The following is a 24,668-nucleotide window of genomic DNA, read 5'->3' on the forward strand; positions in this document are numbered from 1 at the left end:
AAAAATAGTAATAGCTCTCTCATATAACCTTAACCATCCTTAATGGACTAACTTTTTTTTTAGACAGGATCTCCCTCTGTTGCCCAGGCTGAAGTGCAATGGGGCAATGTTGGCTCACTGCAATCTCCACCTCCTGGGCTCAAGCCATCCTCTCACCTCAGCCTCCTGAGTAGCTAGGACTACAGTCACGAGCCACCACACTCTGCCAATTTTTGTATTTTTTGTAGAGACAGTTTCACCATATTGCCCAGGCTGGTCTTGAACTCCTAGGTTAAAGCGATCCACCTGCCTCAGCCTCCCAAAGTGCTAGGATTACAGGCGTGAGCCACTGCACCTGGCCATATGTACTCATATAATCCTCACAACTACCCTTTGAGGTAAATGCTTTTATCTCCATTTTGCAGATAAGTAAACTGAGGTGGCAAGTACTAAGTACCTTACTCAAGATCACACAACTAGTAAAAGAAAAATTCAAATCAAAATCATTTCTGTTATTTAGTATTTCTTTAAATGAAGTCATTTTTTAACTTCAATAGATTTAACCTGAAAGGAAATTTTATTACATTATTGTGTGTTATCACCTACACTAAATAGAAGGTAGTCTGAAAAATAAATACAATGTAAATAAAAGAATGTTATTGTTACCTAAAAACTGTCATCTGCAGAAGATCCAAGACTGAAGTCTTCTTTTCTCTCTCTCTCTCTCTCTCTCTCTCTCTCTCTCTCTCTCTCCCTCTTTCCCTCCCTACACCTCCCTCTGTCAGAGGGGTTGGAACAGAGCAACTCCATCTTGAAAAGGGGCTAGATAAAATAAGACTAAGACCTGCTGGACTGTATTACCAGTAAATTAAGGCATTCTTAGTCACAGGATGAGACAGGAGGTCAGCACAAGATACAGGTAATAAAGACCTTGCTGATAAAATAGGCTGCAGTAAAGAAGCCAGCCAAAACCTACCAAAACCAAGATGGTGATGAGAGTGACCTCTGGTTGTCCTCACTGCTACACTCCCACCAGTAACATGACAGTTTACAAATGCCATGGCAACATCAGAAAGCCTATATAGTCTAAAATGGGGGCCGGGCGTGGTGGCTCACACCTCTAATCCCAACACTTTGGGAGGCTGAGGCAGATGGATCACCTGAGATCAGGAGTTCAAGACCAGCCTGGCCAACATGGTGTAACCCCCATCTCTACTAAAAGTACAAAATTTGCTGGGCGCGGTGGTGCACACCTGTAACCCCAGCTACTCAAGAGGCTGAGGCAGAAGAATCACTTGAACCCAGGAGGCGGAGTTTGCAGTGAGCCGAGATTGCGCCATTGCACACCAGCCTGGGCAACAAGAGTGAAACTCTGTCTCAAATAAATAAATAAAAATGGGGAGAAACCCTCAGTTGCAGGAATTGCCCACCCCTTCCCTGGAAAACTCATGAATAATCCACCCCTTGTGTAGCATATAATCAAGAAATAACCATAAAGATGGGCAACCGGCAGCCCTCAGGGCTGGTCTGCCTATGGAGTAGCCATTCTTTTATTTCTTTACTTTCTTAATAAACTTCCTTTCATTTTACTCTATGAATTCGCCTCAAATTCTTTCTTGTGCAAGATCCAGGGACCCTCTCTTGGGGTCTGGATGGGGACCCCTTTCCGGTAACAACTCTGCCTTTTCATCTCCTGAAAAGGTAGATTTGCTAGTGCAAGAAGATATTAAAGACTCACAGGCACCAAACTAACATTTTCTCCACCACATAATCACGCCCACTGAATGTGACCTGCAAAGGGTCTGTCTCATTGCAGGATCCAAAGCCATTTAATGCCACAAGTGTGAACTGCTCCCAATGCCCTCACCCATCACAGGTGGTCCCACACTGGAAAACATTGCTTCAAGCAGCATTAACAACTAAGGATGTCACAAATGCAGATTTATTTGCCAAGAAATCAGGGTGCTTCTGTAGGTTTTTTACATAATGAGAAATCAAAGCTATCAATGTAAAGTACTGCTTTTAGGTTCAATCAATCATTGGTAAAATGATACAATGAGGAAAACCTGGCTTGGCTGGCAGTTCCTGTGGAAAGGGACTGTGGTTTGGGCTGACCACAAGATCAACATCAGCCAAGAGTATGACAGGGTTCTGAGGTGAGAGAAGGGACTCTTAGGCTCATTCCTAACCTGTCAGGGATTGAATCAAGGGAAGGGAGATCCTGTCCTCACAGTGAGCCAAGCAGACCACACCTGGCGCTCAGGAAAATCAACTACTTAACACAGCATGTCCTTTTCAGAAAAAGCAATCAAGAATGATGAGTATCTGAAAATTAAGCCACTTGAGGAATATGATCACCCTACTTAAAATTGCAACCCAAGTCCCTTCAGTATACATAATCCCCCTCACTCTGTTCTTTTTTTTCTTAGAATTTTCACCTCCTAATATGCAACACGAGTTACTTTTACATGAATTTATTTTCGGCCCCACTCCATGAAGACAAGGATTTTTTTACAGCAGTGTTCACTGATGCACCCCTGGTGTGTAGAGCAATGACTGATACATATTAACACCAGACAGCCAACTGTGTGCAACTCCTCCCAATACTAGGTTCACTGAGTTTACAGTGGTCACTTAATACTGGCCGTGGAGGGAGCATTTATACAAAGGAAATTGGCAAACACTACAATCAGTGCTCCCTGCCCAGAGCTGGTTCTTAACCATTAACTAGCACTGATTGCACTTGCTCTGAGAACTTGAGGCAACAAGAATATAAGAATGAACTTAAAGAAAGTTTTTCAGATATTGAACTGGTACCATTGTTTCAACAGAAACTGGATGACCTCATTTGTCAGGAGCACATGAGATGAAATCAATGTATTGCTTTTCCGCTGGCCTCAACTGCTCTATGAGGGCAGGAATCTCAACTACATCTCTCAACATTGTCACGGTGGCAAGCAAGTAACTTTGAGTTAGTTGCTGTATTCCATTGTTTCCTTTCAGCCGAAAGACTAAAATTCTATAGTACATGTCAAACTACATTAAGTCTAATTTCCACGGTTCTAATCACTAGAGAAAATGGGTCAATGCCTTCTTTTAAATATGAAATGTGTAGTTTCCCTTTTAAAACCTACGTTTTCAAATAAAAATGCAACCACAATGAGAGCTGTTACATAAGGAAAACCACACCTTGCAGGGTGCCCATTATTTCAGCCTCTAAGCAAAATAATGAAACCTTCTCTGTACTTCAAAAGGACCCCGAAGATGACTGAAACAGTTTTAATTAAAAATGCAATTAGCATGAGTTTTCTGAGATACAATGATAATGGGTGGGCAGGACATAAGAGGCTATCATTGATGCTTTCAGCTTATTTAATGAAAAAAGCAGGCCCAGAACCACAGAGACTCACACCTATAATCCACCAGTTTGGGAAGCCGAAGCGGGAGGGATCACTTAAGCCCAGCAGGTCGAGGCTGCAGTGAGCCATGATCCTGCCGGTGCACCCCAGCCTGAGTGACAAAGGGAGACAATGCCGCAAAAAAAAAGAAAAAAGAAAAAAACCTGTGACAATGAACCTGTTTGTAGAGCACCCCTGTTTGGGACAACCTATCTATATACCTCATTCATCCTTTCATCCTTTCTCCTCAATCTAACTCAAATTCATTTCATATGTAGGCTTTCTAAAATTGACAAAAACTCAGTCATCACACATGCAGATATCAAGGATGATTTTTTTTTTTTTGAGACCGAGTCTCGCTCTGTCACCATGCTGGAGTGCAGTGGCGCGATCTCAGCTTACTGCAACCTCCACCTCCCAGGTTCAAGCGATTCTCCTGCCTCAGCCTCCCAAGTAGCTGGGACCCCCAACTACCATGCCCAGCTAATTTTTGTATTTTTAGTAGAGATGGGGTTTCACCATATTGGCCAGGATGGTCTCGATCTCCTGACCTCGTGATCCACCCACCTCGGCCTCCCAAAGTGCTGGGATTACAGGCGTGAGCCACCGCGCCCAGCCAAGGAAGATTTTTACGTCAAGAATTCAACAATGCAATCCACATAAGATACTAGATAATTCTATCTTGAATAACTTGAGACCCTTTCGGGGCACAAAAGCCATAAAAGTTTAAAACTCCAACAAATGCCCACAAACAAAAGGGCCTCAAAGAGCAAATCAATCCATGGTAATAATTCAGGGTAAGAAGCTGAGTTACACCAAAGGCCTGTGGAATGGAGAGTGGGCTGGGGAGAAATTCTGGGGTCTAATCCATTCTTTGACTTTTACTAAGAGTTATGAAACTTTGGGCAAGTCACTTGAACCAAGTTGCAGTTTCCTTTATCAGCCAAAGAGGAAAATACTTCCCCTGTGTATCTCACAGCTTTCCTAGAAGGGCAAATCACATTAAAAATTATATTTCTAGGCCGGGCGCGTTGGCTCACACCTGTAATCCCAGCACTTTGGGAGGCCGAGGCGGGTGGATCACCAGGTCAGGAGATCGAGACCATCCTGGCTAACACGGTGAAACCCTGTCTCTACTGAAAATACAAAAAATTAGTCGGGCGCAGTGGCGGGCGCCTGTAGTCCCGGCTACTCAGGGGGCTGAGGCAGGAGAATGACGTGAACCCGGGAGGCGGAGCTTGCAGTGAGCCGAGATAGCGCCACTGCACTCCAGCCTGGGCGAAAGAGCAAGACTCCGTCTCAAAAAAAAAAAAAAAAAAAAAAAAAATGTTATTTGTATCTAAAGGAAAAACCAAGGTCTTTCCATTGTGTCTCAGTCTTTACTACTAACTTCCCCAAATAAGATGGAGACGTATTTATCAAAATGTCCACTTGTGGCCAGGCACGGTGGCTCACACCTGTGGTTCCAGCACTTTGGGAGGCAGAGGCAGGCAGATCACTTTGTCAGAGGTGTTTGAACCACAGCAACTCCATCTTGAATAGGGGCTAGGTAAAATGAGGCTGATACCTACTGGGCTGCATTCCCAGGAGGTTGGGCATTCTAAGTTACAGGATCAGATTGGTCGGCACAAGAAACAGGTCACAAAGACCTTGCTGATTAAACAGGTTGCGGTAAAGAAGCCAGCCAAAACCCACCAAAACCAAGATGATAACGCAAGTGACCTCTGGTCCTCCTAACTGCTCATTATATGCTTATTATAATGCATTAGAAGGCTAAAAGACACTCCCACCAGTGTCCTGACAGTGTACAAATGCCATGGCAACGTCAGGAAGTTACCGTATATGGTCTAAAAAGGGAAGAACCCTCAGCTCTGGGAATTGCCCGCCCCTTTCCTGGAAAACTCATGAATAATCCACCCCTTGTTTAGCATATAATCAAGAAGTAAACATAAAAATAGCCAACAATCAGTCCATGCTTCTGCTCTGCCTACGAAGTAGCTATTCTTTTACTCCATTGCTTGCTTCTTTTTTTTTTTGAGATAGAGCCTCACTCTGTGTCCCAGGGTAGAGTGCAGTGGCACAGTCTTGGTTCACTGCAACCTCCACCTGCCAGGTTCAAGCCATTCTCCTGTCTCAGCCTCCCGAGTAGCTGAGACTACAGGAGCGTGCCACCACGCCCAGCTGATTGTTTATATTTTTTAGTAGAGATGAGGTTTCACTGTGTTAGCCAGGATGGTCTCAATCTGTTGACCTCGTGATCCACCCGCCTCAGCCTCCCAAAGTGCTGAGATTACAGGCATGAGCCACCGCACCCGGCCCTCCCTTGCTTTCTTAATAAACATCCTTTCACTTTGTGGATTTGCCTCAAGTTCTTATGTGAGATCCAAGAACCCTCTCTTGAGGTCTAGATCGAGACCCCTTTCCAGTAACAGCTTGAACACAGGAGTTCCAGACCAGCCAGGGCAACATGGCGAAGCCCTGTGTCTATAAAAAATACAAAAATTAGCCAGGTGTGGTGGCAGACACTGTAGTCCCTGCTACTTGGGAGGCTGAGGTGGGAGGATCATTTGAGCCCAGAAGTCAAGGTTGCAGTGGGCCGAGATTGTGCTACTGCACTCTAGCCCAGGTGACAGAGAAAGACCTTGTCTCAACAACAACAGTAAAAGTCCACTTGCATTCTTGTGCTCTCTTCAACTTATATTACAGGGTAAAAAAACAGTTCCGCTATTATTCCTCTCTGTGGCATATGAAAACCTGCCATTACATGTGGATTTGAACCCAATTGTGGGTTCAAATGAAACAGATCATTGGAAACCAATGAAAATCACTACCTATATTTTTTATTGCACTGTGACTAGAGAAGGGTAAGTGTATACGCCAACTCATAGAAAAGCTTGATGACACCAAACTACCTGCTCTCCATTGTAATACTATCACATTTTTAAATACTTTCCTGAAACTTGGAGTTACCAAATAGTCCAGAAAATCAGCCACAGAGATAAATCAACAGATTGAAAATCCAAACACATGGAAACAGGGGAAAAAATCGTATCGAGTTTTCTAATGTTTGTGGACACAAATGCTTACAAATATTTCAAAATACTTCACTAAACTGTTTTATTTGTTAGGACAGAATGCCTTGAACTTGCACTCTTCTGATACGACTTGTAGATTATTTTCTTGCACATTTTCTCTCCCAACCAACATAAAATAATGCAAACAAGGTCTGTTCGAAGACTATGGATTATGTTCTTTTCAAATTACTTGAACCTGGGAGGCGGGGGTTGCAGTGAGCTGAGATCACACCACTGCACTCCAGCCTAAGCGACAGAGTGAAACTCAGTTTCACGAAACAAAAATAAAAAAGAAAGATTAGGTAATATGTTTTCTAAAACTGCTCTCTCCCATAGCAGGTAACTTTGAGGTATGTGTCTGCCCCCTAGGTTTCTTCTTTGGAACACAATCCCCTTCAGCATTCCCACCATCCCGAACATATATATACCATCAACAGAAAAAAGCTCCGGGCAGCCCTAGAGTTCCACCCACCCCAGCAATGGCTGATTGCCTTAGGCATCGGCACCTAATTGAAGCTCTACCTATGAAATTCTCTCTTTCCAGGAAGCTAAACCACAGAAACTCTCTGTGACTAAAGCCATCATATAATAAGAGAGCCAAAGGGGCTTCCAAATTCCACCTCGTAGATGGAAAATCAGAGAAAGCCCATCTATAGAAAGAAACATAATCAGAGGAAAGAAGATCCTTCATGAGGCCCTCTCCATCCTTCCCCTTGGGTTCCATGAGACTTTGCCGTCTCTAGATAATAAATTATCCTTCCTGCTTAGGCTATTACTTGCAACCAAAGCTGATTCATAATTATGTTTAAATAAAGTATGATGCTACATTACTCTATACCAGACTACATTTACTTAACAGTCCTATCTTTTCAAAGTTTAAATCTTGATATGAAAGAGAATACCATCTGCCTCTAGGCAGCACCTAAGACCAAATGCTCCATTGAAAATCAGGCATTCAGGGAAGCTTACAGTTATACTTGTTTCAATAAGTATTTTGTTTAAGTGTGTATGGCTGAAAGAACCTGTTCCAGGACTAAACTCAATATTAATCCACTTGAAGACAAAAGCCATATCTTAGCCTTGGAGTCCAGAGAGAATGCAAAATGGCTGAAGTGCAGTGGCCTAAAACAATAAGCATTTATTATCTCACAGAGTTTCTACAAGTAAGGAACAGTTTAGTTCGTGGCTCAGGATCTCATGTGGTTGCAATCAAAATATTGGTCAGGGCTGCACTCATCTGAAGGCTTGACTGGGGCTGAGGGATCTGCTTCTGCTTCTAAAATGGTTCACTAATATGGCTGCTGATGAGAGACCCTGGTTCCATGCTACGTGGACCTTTCTCATTGGTTGCTTGTCTGTCCTCATACTATAGCAGCTAGCCTTCCCCAGAGTGACAGATCCAAGAAAGCAAGGCAGAAGCCACAATTCTGTTACGACCTAGCCTTGGGAACAATACTGTGCCATTTCTACCACATACTGTTGGCTTGAATGTCAGTCCTACTCAGCTTAGGAGGAGTCCATACAAGGCCATGAATATATGGAGGTGAAAATTATTGGGAGGAGAGGAGGGGTCTTGGAGGCTAGCTACAATTGGCTAGATTAGGATAGATACTCCTTGAAACTCCAAAGTTACACTAAATATAGTATTCGGAGTAAAAGAAGAAAGATATCTTAAATGAGCCTATTTTATTAATTGTTTATCATCATATGTATGCACAGCAGCAAATAAATGTATTATAAACATATCCCCATTCCGGTCAGGTGCGGGGGCTCATGCCTATAATCCCAGCACTTTGGGAGGCCGAGGTGGGCAGATTACCTGAGGTCAGGAGTTCGAGACCAGCCTGACCAACATGGTGAAACCCCATCTCTACTAAAAATACAAAAAATTAGCTGGGCTTGGTGGTGGGCATCTGTAATCCCAGCTACTCGGGAGGCTGAGGCAGGAGAATCACTTGAACTGCGAAGGTTGCAGTGAGCTGAGATCGCGCCACTGCACTCCAGCCTGGGCACGACAGAGCGAGACTCTGTCTCAAACAAAAAACAAAAACAAAAACAAATCCCTATTCCTTCAAAGAGGTGAATCTAGGTGAGACACCAAGATGTGCACAAGAATAATTAGAGGGTAATTAGGGTAATGAACTGATTCTTTTTTTTTTAATATATTTTACCATTTTTTTTTTTTTAAGATAGGGAGAGGATCTTGCTGGGTTGCCCAGGCTGGTCTCAAACTCCTGGCCTCCAGGGATCCTCCTGTCTCAGCCTCCCAAAATGGTAGGATTATAGGCATGATTCTAAATACAACAGAGGTTCAGAAAAAGAAGAAACAATAGGTCGGATAAAGCAGGGGAAAATCTTTCTCTGTTCTTTACAAATAAAGGCTTACCTTCAGGTGGCATCTTTAACCATCTATTTTATAGACTACAAGTAGGACTTTTTCCAAACATTCATTTGATGTTAGCAAGTGATTTAACAGGACTAATGGTGCAGTACATTTAAGAAAAAGGCTCCCAACCTAATTATAAAACCGAGTCCCTCTTATATTGGGCCATTTAATGGTGCCAGATTGTGGTGCAGTACATTTAAGAAAAAGGCTCCCAACCTAATTATAAAACCGAGTCCCTCTTATATTGGGCCATTTAATGGTGCCAGATTGTGGGCTGAGAAGAAAAAGTTGTTGTTTTTTTTTTTTTTTAAGGGGAGGTTGTGGTGGGACATTCCAAAGGGGAACATTGAAATCCTCTTGTGAGCAAACATCAATAAGTAATCTGCACCAATTTAATCTGCATTGCACAAGTATTTATTTAATCCTATCTATAGTAAGCCACTGTGGTTGGTACAAACACAGTAAAGAACAACACAGATACCAGTCCTGCCTTTATCAGGAAAGACAAAACAAAAACAAAAAGTAAACATTCCAGTAAAGGAATGATTAGTGCTATTATGACAAGGAAAGCATAGGGAACTATTCGATCAAAGAAGAGAGGTTACAGTTCCCCAAATCTAGGGTGTTTGGAAAGGAAGAATATCCTTAGTAAATGACATTGAAGCTAAAACCTAAACTATGTATAGCAGTCAGCTAGAAAAAACAGGCAAGAAAGAATATTTCAGGTGGAGAGAAACACATGTTTTCAGGCCAAAAGCTGGAGAACAAGGTGAGTTTAAAGAACTGAAAGAGGTTTAGTGATTACAATGTTGAACAAAAGGGGGCATGTGGAATGAATAAGAAGAATGGTTTTGTAGATTGAATTCTCTGCAGCAAACTCCATCAAGAGGTAGAGGTCAGGCATGGTGGTTCACTTTGGAAGGCCGAGGTGGGCAGGAGTTCATGATCAGCCTGGGCAAAAAAGTGAGAACCCATCTCTACCAAAAAAAATGTTTTAATTAGCTGACTGTGGTGGTATGTGCCTGTGGTCCTAGCTACTCGGGAGGCTGAGATGGAAGGATCGCTTGAGCCCAGGAGGTTGAGGCTGCAGTGAGCCATGAGGCTGCTACTGCACTCCAGAGTGGGCAATAGAGCGCAATTCTGTCTCAAAGAAAAAAGAGGTAGAGTCTACTACCTCACCCTTTGAATTTTGGCTGGCCTGGAAGTTGCTTTGACCAATAGAATGTGGTAAAGGTGACACTGTGTGAGCTCTGAAGAAAGGGCCTCAAGGGGCCTTGCCACTTCCACCTTCCTGCTTTTGAAATGCTGCCCTGAAACTGCCAAATAAGGAAGCCAGTCTAGCCTACTGGAGGAAAATAAACCATTGTGGAAAAGACACCAAGGTGCCTCAGAGGACAGCCAGTACCAAGGCCAGAGACATGTGAAGGAAGTCACATCAGAACTTCCAGCTCAACCACCACCCAGGTGAACTCGGCAGATGAGTAAGCCCAGGTGAAACCAGCCTAAGAACTATCTGGCCAACTCACAAAATGATGAGCAATAACAAATCATTGGTTTTCTTTAAAGCTACTAAGCCTGGGGGCTTTGTTAGGCAGCAGACAGAAAAAAGCCACAACACACAGGACCAGGTTAAGGACTTCAACTGACCTTCATCCTAAAATCAATGGAAAGCCATGGAAGGGTTTTAAGAACAGACTGACATAATCCATTAGTACCACAGACACAGTACCTATGCCAACAAACCTCCCAAGGCCCTAGAAATAACAGGAATATGGTGGGAGGAAGGGAACTGACTGCAAAATACAAAGAGAAACAGCAGAATCAAAATTCCTAAGCGTAACCCACAGCAAGTCAACTGCAAATCAAAAATTCCTAGGTAGTGACCAGGTGTAGTGGCTCACGTCTATAATCCCAGCACTTTGGGAGGCTGAGGCATACCGATCACCTGAGGGCAGGAGTTCGAGACCAGCCTGGCCAACATGGCGAAACCCCGTCTCTACTAAAAATACAAAAATTAGCTGGGTGTGGCTGGTACACGCCTGTAATCCCAGCTACTCAGGCAGTGGGCCAAGATCACACCACTGCACTCCAGCCTGGGTGACAGAGACTCCCTCTCAAAAAAAAAAAAAAATCTTATGTAGATATATATATATTATATTTCATCAGGAAGGTGGGTACATTTTAATATGTTAGTTATAGAAGAGGGCAATCTCCAAAGTACCTTACACCTTCAAAGTCTCGTGCGGGGTGTGTGTGTATCTGTGTGGTGTGTGTGTAGACAGGGTCTCACTCTGCCATCGAGGCTGGAGTACAGTAGCACAATCACAGCTCACTGCAATTTCAAACTCCTGGACTCAAGCAATCCTCCCACCTCAGCCTCCTGAGTAGCTGGGGCTACAGGTGTGCGCCACTGAGCTCAGGTTCAAAGTTGTTGTTGTTGTTGTTGGTGGTGGTGGTGGTGATGGTGGTGGTGATGGTGATGGTGGTGGTGGTGGTGATGGTGGTGGTGGTGGTGATGGTGGTGGTGGTGGTTGTTTTAATCTCTACCTAATTTTCTCCACAGACAGTATCTCCTCCTGATGATTAACAATTTTGTATAGCTTACCAAGAGCAAACCCTACACCACACCCACTGTCCCAGGAAGAGAATCTCATCAGGGAAATAAACTAGCAATAGACAAGGAGGCCTATGTTCTGAAATCTGAATTCCAATAGCAAGTTATTACTGTTTGAGATTTTGAAGAGCTGTCAAAAGAATGGCAGCCTGACAAACACCTTGAAAACTCTTGCAGCCTATTTGCAGACCTCAGCCAGCCCCACCCTGACACTTCTCCCTTGCCCTTTTGCCTCAGATTTCCAACGCTTGCTAGCTTTGTCTGTTTTGAATGGCCGTGCTCAGTGTTCAGCTACGGAAATCCTCTCCTTCCCCAGCTGGCTCACCAGGAAATTGTTTAGAAGTCAGGTTTTTCCTGGAGGTGGCCCACAGGCCCACAGAGAAAGAGAGAGGTTGTGTCAGGGGCTGAGAGCACTCCCCTGGTGAAGCAATTTGTGGATGATGGTCTGACCACAGGCACCGGCAGCCTCTGCGGTGTGAAGCCATCAGGGTGCATGTGTGTTTGCTAGGTGGCTTGCTTTGGATAAGCACAAGCACAACTGGCTATGCCTAACCTGCTAAATAGAATTTTTAAGCCACTTCTTTTATTTTGTGGGTTTTTTGGGGTTTTTTTAGTTACAACTTAATTAACTTCTGACAAGCAGAAGAGCCACTGCAGACAGTAAGGTTTGACACCAAAAAAAGGGAAAGAGATAAGTAATGAAACTACACCAAAATTAAGTAAGATTTTGCCTAAGGGACATTGTTCTGTTAGATGATTACTCCAGCCCAAATAAGAATTAATCAGGCTATCATTCCGTTTGTTGGAAAATAAAATATGGCATTTATTTTTTTAATGTACTTTTATAAAAAAAGAAAAAGAGACATTATCAGAATCAAGAGAATACGGATCAAGCAATACTCTATTAGGAAATAAATGGCTGACCAGATAACTTGACCTTAAAAAGTATATTCCATATTATGGGTCAATATGATCACTCTTCCTATCAAATCCAAGTGCATACAAGGAAGACAGACTTCAAGCTACCAAGAACATTCTTCAATTACCTAAGCTACAAATAAAAATAGAGCTTCCATGAGAAATAAAGAATTAGGTCAGTGGATAGGAACAGTTTCTTTCCATTTAAGTTAACTAAAATGTTACTTGGGGAAACAATTTTGAAATGTGCTTTAATGTAAATGTTATATTAAATTAATATGAATATTATAATATATTAACATAATTATACTAAATAAATTAATATAAATATATTAAATGAACTAATATAAATATTATATTAAATATATTAACTTAATATAAATAAAGGTCTTTAAGGACCTTTAACAACAAGCTCTGTTCTCACTTATCTGTTCAAGGTGATTCGAGTACTATTAATATTTGCAGGCTGGAGATGGACAAGATGACCAACCTCTGAATGTCCCCTCCATCTTATAAGGACATTGTTAAAAATGACAACCTCCCTACTCGCCAAGAGACTTGACACTTCTTCCTTTTCCGCACTGAGACAGGACAATTTAAAGCCCAGAATAAAATAAATTAAAATAAAGTATCAAGCATGCACCTCTTTGAATGAAGATTTCTCGTAATAAACCTAGGCGGGACATCCTAATTATCTAAGGCCTGAAGATGTTCTTCGGTGTAACAATGACCTAAGATTTATTTATAGTTTTCCTGAGACTCATTAAACATTTCCTGCAATGAGACCACATCACTGAAATCATTTTATTGTGATAGACTGGCAGAGCACAAGGGGAAACAGTCCTCAAAGACAAAAGAACTGGTGGGTGTCTTTGTAGCAGAGGGCAGTGCATATTTTTTTAGTGAGGATGCAACCATTGTAGGTAAACAGCAGGAACTCTCTTCTGATGCTATATCCTGTCCTGTTTAACTCATTAATTTAGGAGACCTCAGCCACTAGAGTAAAACACTAGCACTAGTAATTCGTTTGCGCCCCCATCCCAAAATCAATTTATTAAAATTATATTGCTAAAGAAAAAGAAAAACACATAAACTAGTTTACTTTGAACTAACATGGATTATGCATTAAATGGGCTACTAAGTCATCAATGAAATAAATTCTTTTGAAGTTATTGTGGCCCTACAGTTGTACATGAAGAGTCTTTCTATTTCCCTTTTTTAAAAAAAATGCCTTTTGTATCTCCTGCAGGTTTCCACATTTCTATTCCTATGGGCAGGAAGACTCATACAGCCAAATGTTTAGTCCTCATTATTAAAAAATATACAAACATTTCACCAGCAAGATCATTATTTCATAGTCTTTCATGTTTACACTGTAGGGGGTAAAATCAATAACTCAATGTGAACTCCGCACAAATTACCAACAGCTAAATGTAGATGATGACAGTGGATCTTAAATTACTCATAAACAAACTGAATGAGGAAAAGTATCCCAAAGAAATATTGTCAAATAGCCCTAACGATGGTTCATTTTCTAACTTCAGAAAAAATATTTCAATGGTGAATGTGAAATTATGAGCCCATCTAAGTCATTAAGTAGGAGTGTCATAGGCTATATAAAATACCAGCTCGTACTTCTCCATACTCAGACAGGCCCTCCGATCTTCCCTGGACTGTGTCATCTGCATCTAAAACCCAGTAAGAAAGGAAAGGGAAATCGATTTGGGGAATAAAAGGACATTAGTAGTCATGGTATCAAGTCTCATGAGGGTTTGAGTCTAACAAGGTTTGGGGAGCAAAGCTGACATTCCTCATAGTATTTGAACATTAATAAGCACATTGTGGCCAGCTGATAAATGCTTGTTCATAATATTACTAAGTTTCTGGATTGTTTTACAGTCCCTGGAGATCAAGGAAGAATAAAACAAGAAGGAAGAATCATTAAGTGACTAAAATGAAAAAAATCAAAGAAGAATCTTGAAATATGAGTGTGGCAGAGGCTGCAAGTTGCCTAATTATTTTCATCCCTACCTCTTTAATCCTTAGAAACAGAATTTCTACATCACTGGCAAACATGTGCCAGGAGCTAGGCTAGGCCGCCCTTTAAGAGGGAAAGCAGTGAAGCACTAGAATAACACCCAGGGGAGTGTTCTCCAAACCCTCCTACCTCTTATTCCAAGCAAAGCAGAGAGCGCTTAGGGAAAGCAATACTAGGAATGGCTGCTCAAAGAATTTACTCTGTATGCCACACTCTCACAAGAAATTAGGGGATGTTTTAGTCCGTTCATGTTGCTATAACGAAATATCATAGACTGAGTCACTTATAAATAACAGAAATTTATTTCCCAGAGCTCTGGAGGCTGAAGTCTAAGATCAGGGTTCCAGCACAGTCAGATTCTGCTGAGGACCCTCTTCTGGGATATGGACTGCCATCTTCTCACTGTATCTTCACGTGGCAGAAAAGAAAGTGAGAAAGCTCTCTGGGGTCTGTTTTATAAGAGCACTAATCCCATTCATGAGGGCTCCACCCCTATGATCTAAATACCTCCCAAAGGTTCCAACAGTCCCACTTCCTTACACCATCACATTGAGGGTTATGATTTCAACATATAAATTTTGGGGAGATTCACATTCAGTCTATAACACGGGTCCCATTACTTTTCTACTGAGATTGTTTCCTCAGCTTTAGTATTGGTAACATTCTGAATTTTATGGAACTACTACAAGGAGTAAACAAAATAAATGTAACCAAAGTGCGTATCAGACTGCACAATCCAGAGGCAACCCACAAGGTATTAACCATGATTTAGTTTGTTCATAGCACGTTTCAGTGGAAGATCTCTCAACTCCTCACAAACCCCAAACCTTAAACCATCCCGTCATATTCAATTAGGGAAACTCTAAGAGGTATTACAGTTTTCCTGGCAACTGACACCAGATGTCACCTCTTCCCTCCCCTGCTTCCACCCTCAAAATTTGTAATTTCACATGAAACAGTATTCAAGAAAAAAACTATAAATGGAACCAAGGTACAAAGAATTATAATTATATTGCCCCTGCCGGGCACGGTGGCTCATGCCTGTAATCCCAGCACTTTGGGAGGCTGAGGTGGGCGGATCACCTGAGGTCAGGAGTTCGAGACCAGCCTGGCCAACATGGTGAAACCCCATCTCTACTAAAAACTACAAAAATTAGCTGAGCATGGTAGCAGGTGCCTGTAATCCCAGCTACTTGGGAGGCTGAGGCAGGAGAATAGCTTGAACCCAGGAGGTGGAGGTTGCAGTGAGCCGAGATTGAGCCACTGCACTCCAGCCTAGGTGACACAGCAAGACTCCGTCTCAAAAAAAAAAAAAGAATTATATTGCCCCTAGTTAAAACCAAGACAGTTCACTAATACAAAACGGCATCAGATTGCTCCAAAGTAGGCTTCCTCAGCCTTGGTACTATTGACATTTGGCGCTAGTTATTGCTTCTGTGCACTGTAGGATGTTGAAGCAGTATCCCTGGCCTCTACCCTGTAGATGCAGTAGCACTCTCCCAGTTTTGACAACCAAAAATAAGTCTAGATTGTGAACTGTCCCCTATGGGGACAACATCCCCACCCCCACCTCCCCTTAAGAACCACTGCTATTTGAACACCACTGAAATGAAAACCCCAACTTTAAAGTCTAAAGCTCTTGAGTTTGGCTTCTCTCATAAATGAAGAAAATAACATCCTCAGAAATAAGAACTGTTTCCCAATGGCTTTCAGGCATTAAAGGAAAAGTATTAACTTTCTGTTGTTGTTGTTGCTGCTGTTGTTTGGAACAGGGTCTCACTCTGCTGACCAGGCTGGAGTGCAGTGGTGGAATCTTGGCTCACTGCAGCCTCTGCCTCCCGGGCTCCATTAATCTTCCCACCTCAGCCTCCTGAAGCTGGGACTACAGGCATGAGCCATCATCCCAACTATTTTTATTTTTTGTAGAGACAGGGGTTTCGCCGTGTTGCCCAGGTTGGTCTTGAACTCCTGGGCTCAAGTGATCCGCCTGCCTTGGCCTCCCAAAATGCTGGGATTATAGGCGTGAGCCACCATACCCAGCCTTAGCTTTCTTAGAAAATGCCATTTTCCTTCCTGACCTGTGACCAGGAGCTTTACCACACAGCATGTTGCTATATGCACAGCACAGTCTGAGAGAAGTGTTACTTTAATGGCTAATATAATACCATTTGCAGAAAAAAAAAAAACACATACAAAACCACCAAAAGGAGAAATCCTGACATTAGTGAAATATTCAGTTGTAAACCAAAAGAATTCCTTACTGAGAGTGATTGGCTTTCACATGCTTTGCCCAGTAATGAGCAAATGATATCTGAAGACGTTTTATCTGTGCTCTGGAGAACTACTATCTTTTAGTAGCCTCAAACAGACAGTTGATCATTCTGGGATTTGGACATGATTTTCTTGGTCTCCCAGCCCCATTACCCGGGGGCCAGAAAAAACATTTGGCATGATCCCGACTCTAATATAAAAGGGTTGGCTCCCTTTTTGGTTTCTAACTACCACTGTTAAATATGAGGTCAAAGTTCTAATGATTACTGTCACTTTCTGATTTTACAGTTAAGTATATCATACAGAATGTTAGCAAGTGCCTCACTTTCCTCATCCATAAAGGCAGATAATAGCACCTACACCCTAGAGGGTTGTTATGCAGATCAAATTTTATTTTGAGGATCAGTATTTGTAAAATGCGACCAGGTGCGGTGGCTCACCCCTATAATCCCTACACTTTAGTAGGAGGCCAAACCAGACAGATAACAAGAGGTTGGGAGTTCGAGACCAGCCTGGCCAATAGGGTGAAACCCCATCTCTACTAAAAATACAAAAATGAGCTGGGCGTGGTGGTGTGCACCTGTAATCCCATCTACTCGGGAGGCTGAGGCAAGAGAATCCCTTGAACTCGGGAGGTGGAGGTTGCAGTGAGCCGAGATCATGCCACTGCACTCCAGCCTGGGTGGTGGAGGGAGACTCTGTCTCAAAAGAAAACAAATTTGTAAAATGTTCACAATACTGTTTATATATAGCAAGTGGTATATAAGTGCTTGTTAAACAAATACAATCTATATAACTCTTGTTATTTGATGGAGAAATTATAATGTTTACAGTTGCATTCGTCGTGCCAGATTGGCTGTATTTTTGTTTTGTTCTGTGTTTCTTTTGCTGGGAGAAGATGGAGAAACATTCTTTGAAAATGTCCCTTTTTCTCTCTGAACCTTCACTCATGCCCTAGAAAAAAGAAAATCATCTCAGGGCCAGGCACAGTGGCTCACACCTGTAATCCCAGCACTTTGGGAGGCCAAGGTGGGCAGATCACGAGGTCAGGAGTTTGAGACCAGCCTGGCCAACATCGTGAAACCCTGTCTCTACTAAAAATACAAAAAATTAGCTGGGCGTGGTGGCAGGCGCCTGTAATCCCGGCTAGTCGGGAGGCTGAGGCAGGAGAATCGCTTGAACCCGGGAGGCGGAGCTTGCAGTGAGCCAAGATCATCACTGCACTCCAGCCCAGGTGACAGTGCGAGACTCCATCTCAAAAAAAAAAAAAACTTCTCAGGAAACAATACCCTACTATATGTGATGCACTAATTGTGTGTGTGATTGTGTGTGTGTGTGTGTATATATATATGTGTGTATATAGATTCTGGTTTGTAATCCACAGTACAGATTTCACTACAGTCACTAATCTTGTCCTACAATTTGAAAAACACTGCTTTAGATGAGTATTCCAAGAAGAATATTCTGTAGAGAAGCAGTATCACAACATATTAAAGAGTTTCATGTTCAAGAAAGTTTGAGAAAGCCTTACTTTGTACACCTTAACAACAGTACAAGTCATTAGATATCCTGCAATTAAGAAATATATTCATTCTACAGAACTCAAAACTTATTTGTGAACTGGGCATTGTTTTCCTCCACTGTGACAGGGCAGCATCATATAGCTTGTGGGCCAATTTTCATATTTCTCAAATGAAAAAAGTTGAGTTCCAGGAAAAAAACATTCTTTCTGACTGAATCTAAAAGTGCCTAACTCTGTGCCTAACTCAAGTAGCTGTTTAAGAATCCTGGTTCAACTCCATTAAGCAGTTTTGCCATTTCTTAGTAAAATTTAATAAAAAGTGACCCTGGATTATTTTTCCCTTAAAAGGGAATGTTACTTGTTAAGCAGGCAAGATAGCAGAAATTGAAAGTGCTCAGCTAGGTGCAATGGCTCAGGCCTGTAATCCCAGCCCTTTGGAAGGCAGAGGCAGGACAGCTTGAGCCCAGGAGTTCAAGACCAGCCTGGGCAACATAGCGAGACTCTATCTCTACAAAAAATAAAAATAAAAAAATGAGATGGATGTGGGGTACGTGCCTGTAGTCCTAGCTGCTCGAGAGGCTGAGGTTGGAGGATAGTTTGAGCCCAGGAAGTTGAAGATGCAGTAAGACATGCTCATAGCACTGCACTCCAGCCTGGGCAACAGAGCAAGACCCTATCTCAAGGGAAAAAAAAATAAAGTGCTATTTAAATGCTAATAGCTTTCCAATGCCTTTTTTTGAGAAAAAGAACTAAGGAAAGGAAGAGCAAAAGAGAGAAAGAACAGAAGGAAGGAAAAGGAAGGGACGGAGGGAGGGAGCCATGAAGGGAGTCCTTTGGATATTAGATCTCCTGTGTGCAAGAAACTTCTAGAAGTATGACCAGCTCACCAAGGAAATAGCTAAAAAATAAAACAAAGATATATGTCTAAATTTCATACTCTTTGCAGCATTACAGAATAAGGGAAGATAGTTGGGGTAGAGAGGTGGATAACCCAACAATAGGGAAATGGTTAGGTAATAAAGAGAGTGTCAATTTTGTCCGACAGCATTAAAATATAACAACCAGGCAAATATTCATTATGTAATATTAGCATTCATTCATTATATTGAGGATATCCATTACATAATATTGCTGTGATGGGGCATGAAATAGAGGACGGGAACCAAATTCATCCATCACGTTACAACATATATGAAAAGCAACAAGGAAATTGGAAACAAGTGGTGTGTCCGTAGGGCAAGAGTGCTCAAATCTGGGAGCACCAATGGATCTGGTGGGGAAGCCCTTTTTAAAATGCAGAGTCTGTGGGCTCTCTCCCAAACATCCTGATTTTGAAGGGCCAGGGTGGACTCAAGAAACTGCATTTGGTTTTTTTGTTGTTGTTTTTAACTTTTACTTTAGGTTCAGGGATACATGTGCAGGTTTGTTATATGGATAAACTCGTGTCATGAGGGTTTGATGTACAGATTATTTCATCACCCAGGTACTAAACTTAGTACCCAATAGTTATTTTGTAATGACCACCTAGGAGATTCTGAGGCTGATGATCTGGGGACCACACATTCATTTCATGAAAACTTAATGGGTATGTAGTATCTGCTGTGAAAGCAAACTAAGTATAGCCTGAGAAGGACTCTGTACTTTTATATTTGAGTCCTTGTGGACCAACCTTGTCTAATAGGTAGACAAGGGTGAAAAACTAATTTAGGAGTATGCAGCTGTAACAATAGCTGAGTCTTGGCCAATCCCAGTAGCCATGCTTCAACCAGTCATACACTGCTGAGTGTTCAACTCTTTTCCAAATAAGGCAAATGCCAAGGTGTAACCCATCCAGCTATTTCTGTATCTCACTTCCGATTTCTGTATGTCATTTCTCTTTTCTTGCCTATAAATTTATTCTGACCACAGGGCATCCCTGGAGTCTCTGTGAATCTGCTGTGATTCTGGGGACTACCCAATTCGTGAATCATTCGTTGCTCACTTAAACTTCTTTAAATTTAATTTGGCTGAAGTTGTTCTTCTAACACTGCCAATCCCTGTTCTAGGTGCTAGAGACAGAGCAGTGGCTAAAGGCACACTTGAGAGGCAAGCAATAAAGTGGTAATCATTCTTTTAAAAATCTTTAGTATTAAAATAGTATTTATTAAATAAATTCCCTGAAAAAAAATCAAGAGCCAACATTTTCCTGCTCTCTAATTTATGTTTTACTTAAGAGGAAATGCACCTTAGAAAGCTCTCTGGGCCTGGCCCTAGGGTCCGCCTACAGCATGGACACTGGAAGGGGGTGGCCACCGAGGGTATCTGTCCAAGTGAGGTCCTGGCACTTCCTGCCATTCCTGCATGCCCTCCCAGGGCACTAAGGGTGATGACTGGGAATTAGAAAGGGTGGTGATGAAGAAGGAATAAAAAATGTGTTACTTCAACTCACAAGAAACACAAGTTAAAGAACTTTCGGGAACTACAAGTCCTCGTCAGCGTCTTGTGGGCTATTGACGCTGACCTCCCAACTTGGTGCCAGTTAGAATTTCCTCCCTGCCTTTTCTGCATTTCATCATTTATTTCCTGGTTTGGAATATTAAAACTTTGCTTACATCCTGTTTTGGTCCCTTTGGTTTTTTTTTCCGTTGGGCAGAAATTTCAGCAACCTCCTCCAGGTTAGAGAAAAGCAGAGCCAAGGGTGGCAATGACTTTCAGCATGGACGAGAACAGCCACCAAGAGGGGAGAGCTCAAACCTATTTGTCTTGGCAATGGCATTCAGTGAGCTGCTGGTTATGTCATCTGCCTACAAGTAGGCCTCACTGTTTTGCAGTCATCCATTTCCCAATAATGGTATCCTGACACCACACACGCACACCCAGATCTGGCAGCGCACCCACCAGCCTGCGCTGACTCCAGAAGAGGTAGGGCCAGGGACAAGAAAACGAAAAACAATCCACATGAAACAGATCACTTAAGAATGTTAAATATTAAAAATGCTGTTTTCACCTGCAGAGTAAGAAAATATAGGAAAAAGTGGATAGCTGGAGAATTTTATGCAGCTAATGAGTTTATACAGTTTAAAAGCACACTTTTGAACTAAAATCTAAAGTGACAAAATCATGAAAGCTAAGCAGTATGCAAAACTCTACAACTGAAGTGTTTCACCTCAGTATTTTATATGAATTAATTTCAATTTACAGCTAAATGTCAAGGCAAATTTGTTTCTTTTCTATCTTGTGTTATGTTTGGTACCCTAAGGCTTTTAGACACTGAATAACTTATAAACAAATAACATCTCATCCTCATTGTTATGTAAAATAACTCCCGAGCTTGTGTTTCCTGTAGTTCTTCAAGGAAAGAGGATCCTAATGTTGAAAGAAAATTGTATTGGTAAGCCATAGCAAATGGTTCCTAAAAGCAGACTAACAAAATGCTAAGATAATAGGCCCCTATCATTTTATATTTATGGTTTTATCTATAGTAATTCTGGGATTAGAATTTGTAATACCCCAAACAGCATATGTAAGGTATAAATATCTCCTAAATATATTTAAAACCTGGAAAAATTATACAATCAACCTAAAATGGAGGAACACAAAGAATAATACAACATGTCTCTAAATTCTGACATAAATTTAAGGGATGAAAACTCCTATATTTATATTTTTAAATCATCAAATGAATACACTGAGATAAGCTATAATAAAATTATTATGCTCAATTTACACTAATTATAAATTGTACGTTTCTGATTAACTGTTGAGGCTTTCAAGTGAAAGCTTTAATCAGCAATATCAGTTTTTTGGTTTGTTTTTCTGAGACGGGGTCTCGGTCTGTTACCCAGACTGGAGTACAGAAGTGCAATCACAGCTCACTGCAGCTTGGATCTCCTAGGCTCAAGCGAGCCTCCCACATCAGCCTCCTGAGTAGCTGGTACCACAGGCATGCACCATCATGCCCAGCTAATTTATTTTATTTTTAGTATTGATGAGATCTCACTATGTTACCCAGGCTGGTCCCAAACCCTGAGCTCAAGCAATCTTCCTGCCTCAGCCTCCCAAAGTGCTGGGATTACAGGCATTGAGCAACTGCTGTGCCCAGCAATCAGCAATATCTTTCTCTTTTTTTTTTTTTTTTTTTTTGAGACAGAGTCTCACTCTGTCACCCAGGCTAGAGTGCACTGGTACGATCTTGGCTCACTGCTACCTCCGCCTCCCAGGTTCAAGCGATTGTCCTGCCTCAGCCTCCTGAGTAGCTGGGATTACAGGCACATGCCACCACACCAGGCTAATTTTTTTGTATTTTTAGTAGAGACGGGGTTTCACCATGTTGGCCAGGCTGGTCTCAAACTCCTAACCTTAAGTGATCAGCCCACCTCAGCCTCCCAAAGGGCTGGGATTACAGGCATGAGCCACTGCACCCAGCCTGGCAGTATCTTTTTAAAAATAATTGCTGCTAGCAGCAATGGACACTCTGCCCTGGAATATTATAAGATATATCTCCAGCCTTCCTAAATGACTCCCTTGTTTCATAAAACCCCAAATTTTCTGCCTTTTCTTTGAGACTTTCTTCATTAATGAAAGTTCTCTTTATTGCAATAGCCTAAATAAAAAACCCAATACATGTGCCCTTTTATTATACTAAAACCCAAATGGTTCAAGTAGAGCTTATGGTAACTTTTAAATGAGATTAAAAATCACTTGGCCGGCCTCATGAAATTACAGTTTGAGTTAGGCCCAGAAGCCTGAAAATTTTGGAAAGTTCAGTAGGGTTAACCCAAAAAACATCTAAATCCAGGTTTAAATTTGGGAAATCTTTTCTTTAAAAGAGAAGGACACAATTCAAACTGGCTCAACTTATTCAACATACTTATAAAACAAATCACTAAGTCTCAAATGAGTACATCTATCTTTGACCCACAGACTTAAAAAGCTATATATGCCAAGAAATAATATTTAAGCAACTGTTAAAATCTGTTAGGATTTTAGAATCGTAAAATCCTTTGGCAGTCAACCCATTCTACAGGGCACGAAGACGATGCTGCAGATACCTATCCATGAATTATGCAGTTCAATTTTATGTCCCTAAGCCAAACAACTGAATTGAATTCTCCACAGTCTCTTCCAACTGCCCAGTAACCAGCCTAAGAAAGGTGACAAGAGCAAAGCAAATGCAGCACAGAGAAAAAGACAGGCAAAGATGGCAGCTGTCATTTCTTCACATTGTGCTGTCAGACACTCTATATTCCTCAAAGCATTTGTCACCTCCGGAGCACACTTCCATTGCTGCCAACATGACATTTGGCTATAAATTTTTATTCACTCCACTTATTAAAATGCAAGGCCCTTGGTCCAGAGCACGTGTCATATCAGAAACCTTCCCATCACCTGCATAATAAACCTGTGCAAGCTGTGTCCAACATTTGTGTCCCTATATTCTAGAATAATGCTTAACACAGAGTAACCACCCACTAAACATTGTTGGACGAGGTGTTAAAGGTCAATTGCTATTTCTGTTGTTATTACTACTAGCTGGCTGGAAATTGCTAAGTTCCTGTTAGGTGCAGACTTAAGAAAACAAAACAGAATTCACTGACAAATGTTATCTTCTGTCTCAATCGTCATTTAGACTTGACCAAGTTTACTGCTTCATTTTACCAAGACTACAATCCCTCAAAAGAAGGAAATGTACTTTTTATTGTTGGTCACAAGCCCTAGCACAGTATAATATTCAACATGTCCAGCATTCAGCTGAAGTATGAGACATGCCTCCAAGTTTCTAAGGCTGAAAAGAGTTCAACTTTCTCTCCAAAGTGCTAAGATATACCACAAGTGCTACATGGGGAGAGTCTACTTACTGGTAGGATCTAAACTTAAACCTCCACATCTATCTAAATTCCCAAGTTTTTAAACTTTCCTATCTAGGGAAAAAAGTTTCTTTTACTTTTATATCTTGGCTCCAGTTTTATATTTAAACTAGATTGGGGCTGGGCACGGTGGCACATGCCTGTAATCCCAGCTCAAGAGTTTGAGACCAGCCTGCGCAACATGGCGAAACCCTGCCTCTGCAAAAAATACATAAATTAGCCGGGCAGAGTGGCATGTGCCTATATTCCCAGCTACTCAGGAGGCTGAGATGGGAGGATGACTTGAGCCCAGGATGGGGAGGCTGCAGTGAGCCGAGATGGCACCACTGCACTCCAGCCTGGGCAACAGAGCCAGATCATCAAAAAAAAAAAAAACAAAAAAACAAAAAAAAAACAAAAAAAAAAACAAACAAAAAAAAAAAACAGAACTAGCAATATTACTGTTTTTTTTTTTTTTACTTTACAGCTTGTCAATTTTAATCAAAAGAAACGAAAAGCCACATTCAGTATTAAAGTTAAACAAGTTAGGAGATGAAAGTAGACTAGACCACCCAAGTGGGTAACTTAGCACTGGCTGAAATTACCTAGCTTTAGTTCAGAGACCACTCCTGAAAAGGAAAAG

The 24,668-nt window shown here is 41.7% G+C and overlaps 1 protein-coding gene and 1 long non-coding RNA gene across 7 annotated transcripts in view; both read right to left on the bottom strand.

The window, feature by feature from the left end:
* Positions 1–24,668, bottom strand: part of MAGI1 (membrane associated guanylate kinase, WW and PDZ domain containing 1) — a 685,393-nt gene that overhangs the window by 572,112 nt on the left and 88,613 nt on the right. The gene's annotated exons all lie outside the window — the stretch shown is intronic.
* MAGI1-IT1 (MAGI1 intronic transcript 1) overlaps positions 1–24,668 on the bottom strand; it is an 81,745-nt gene that overhangs the window by 52,824 nt on the left and 4,253 nt on the right. The window lies entirely within an intron of this gene.

The sequence above is a fragment of the Homo sapiens genome, chromosome 3, assembly GCF_000001405.40.
Source record: "Homo sapiens chromosome 3, GRCh38.p14 Primary Assembly".
Lineage (NCBI taxonomy): Eukaryota > Metazoa > Chordata > Mammalia > Primates > Hominidae > Homo > Homo sapiens.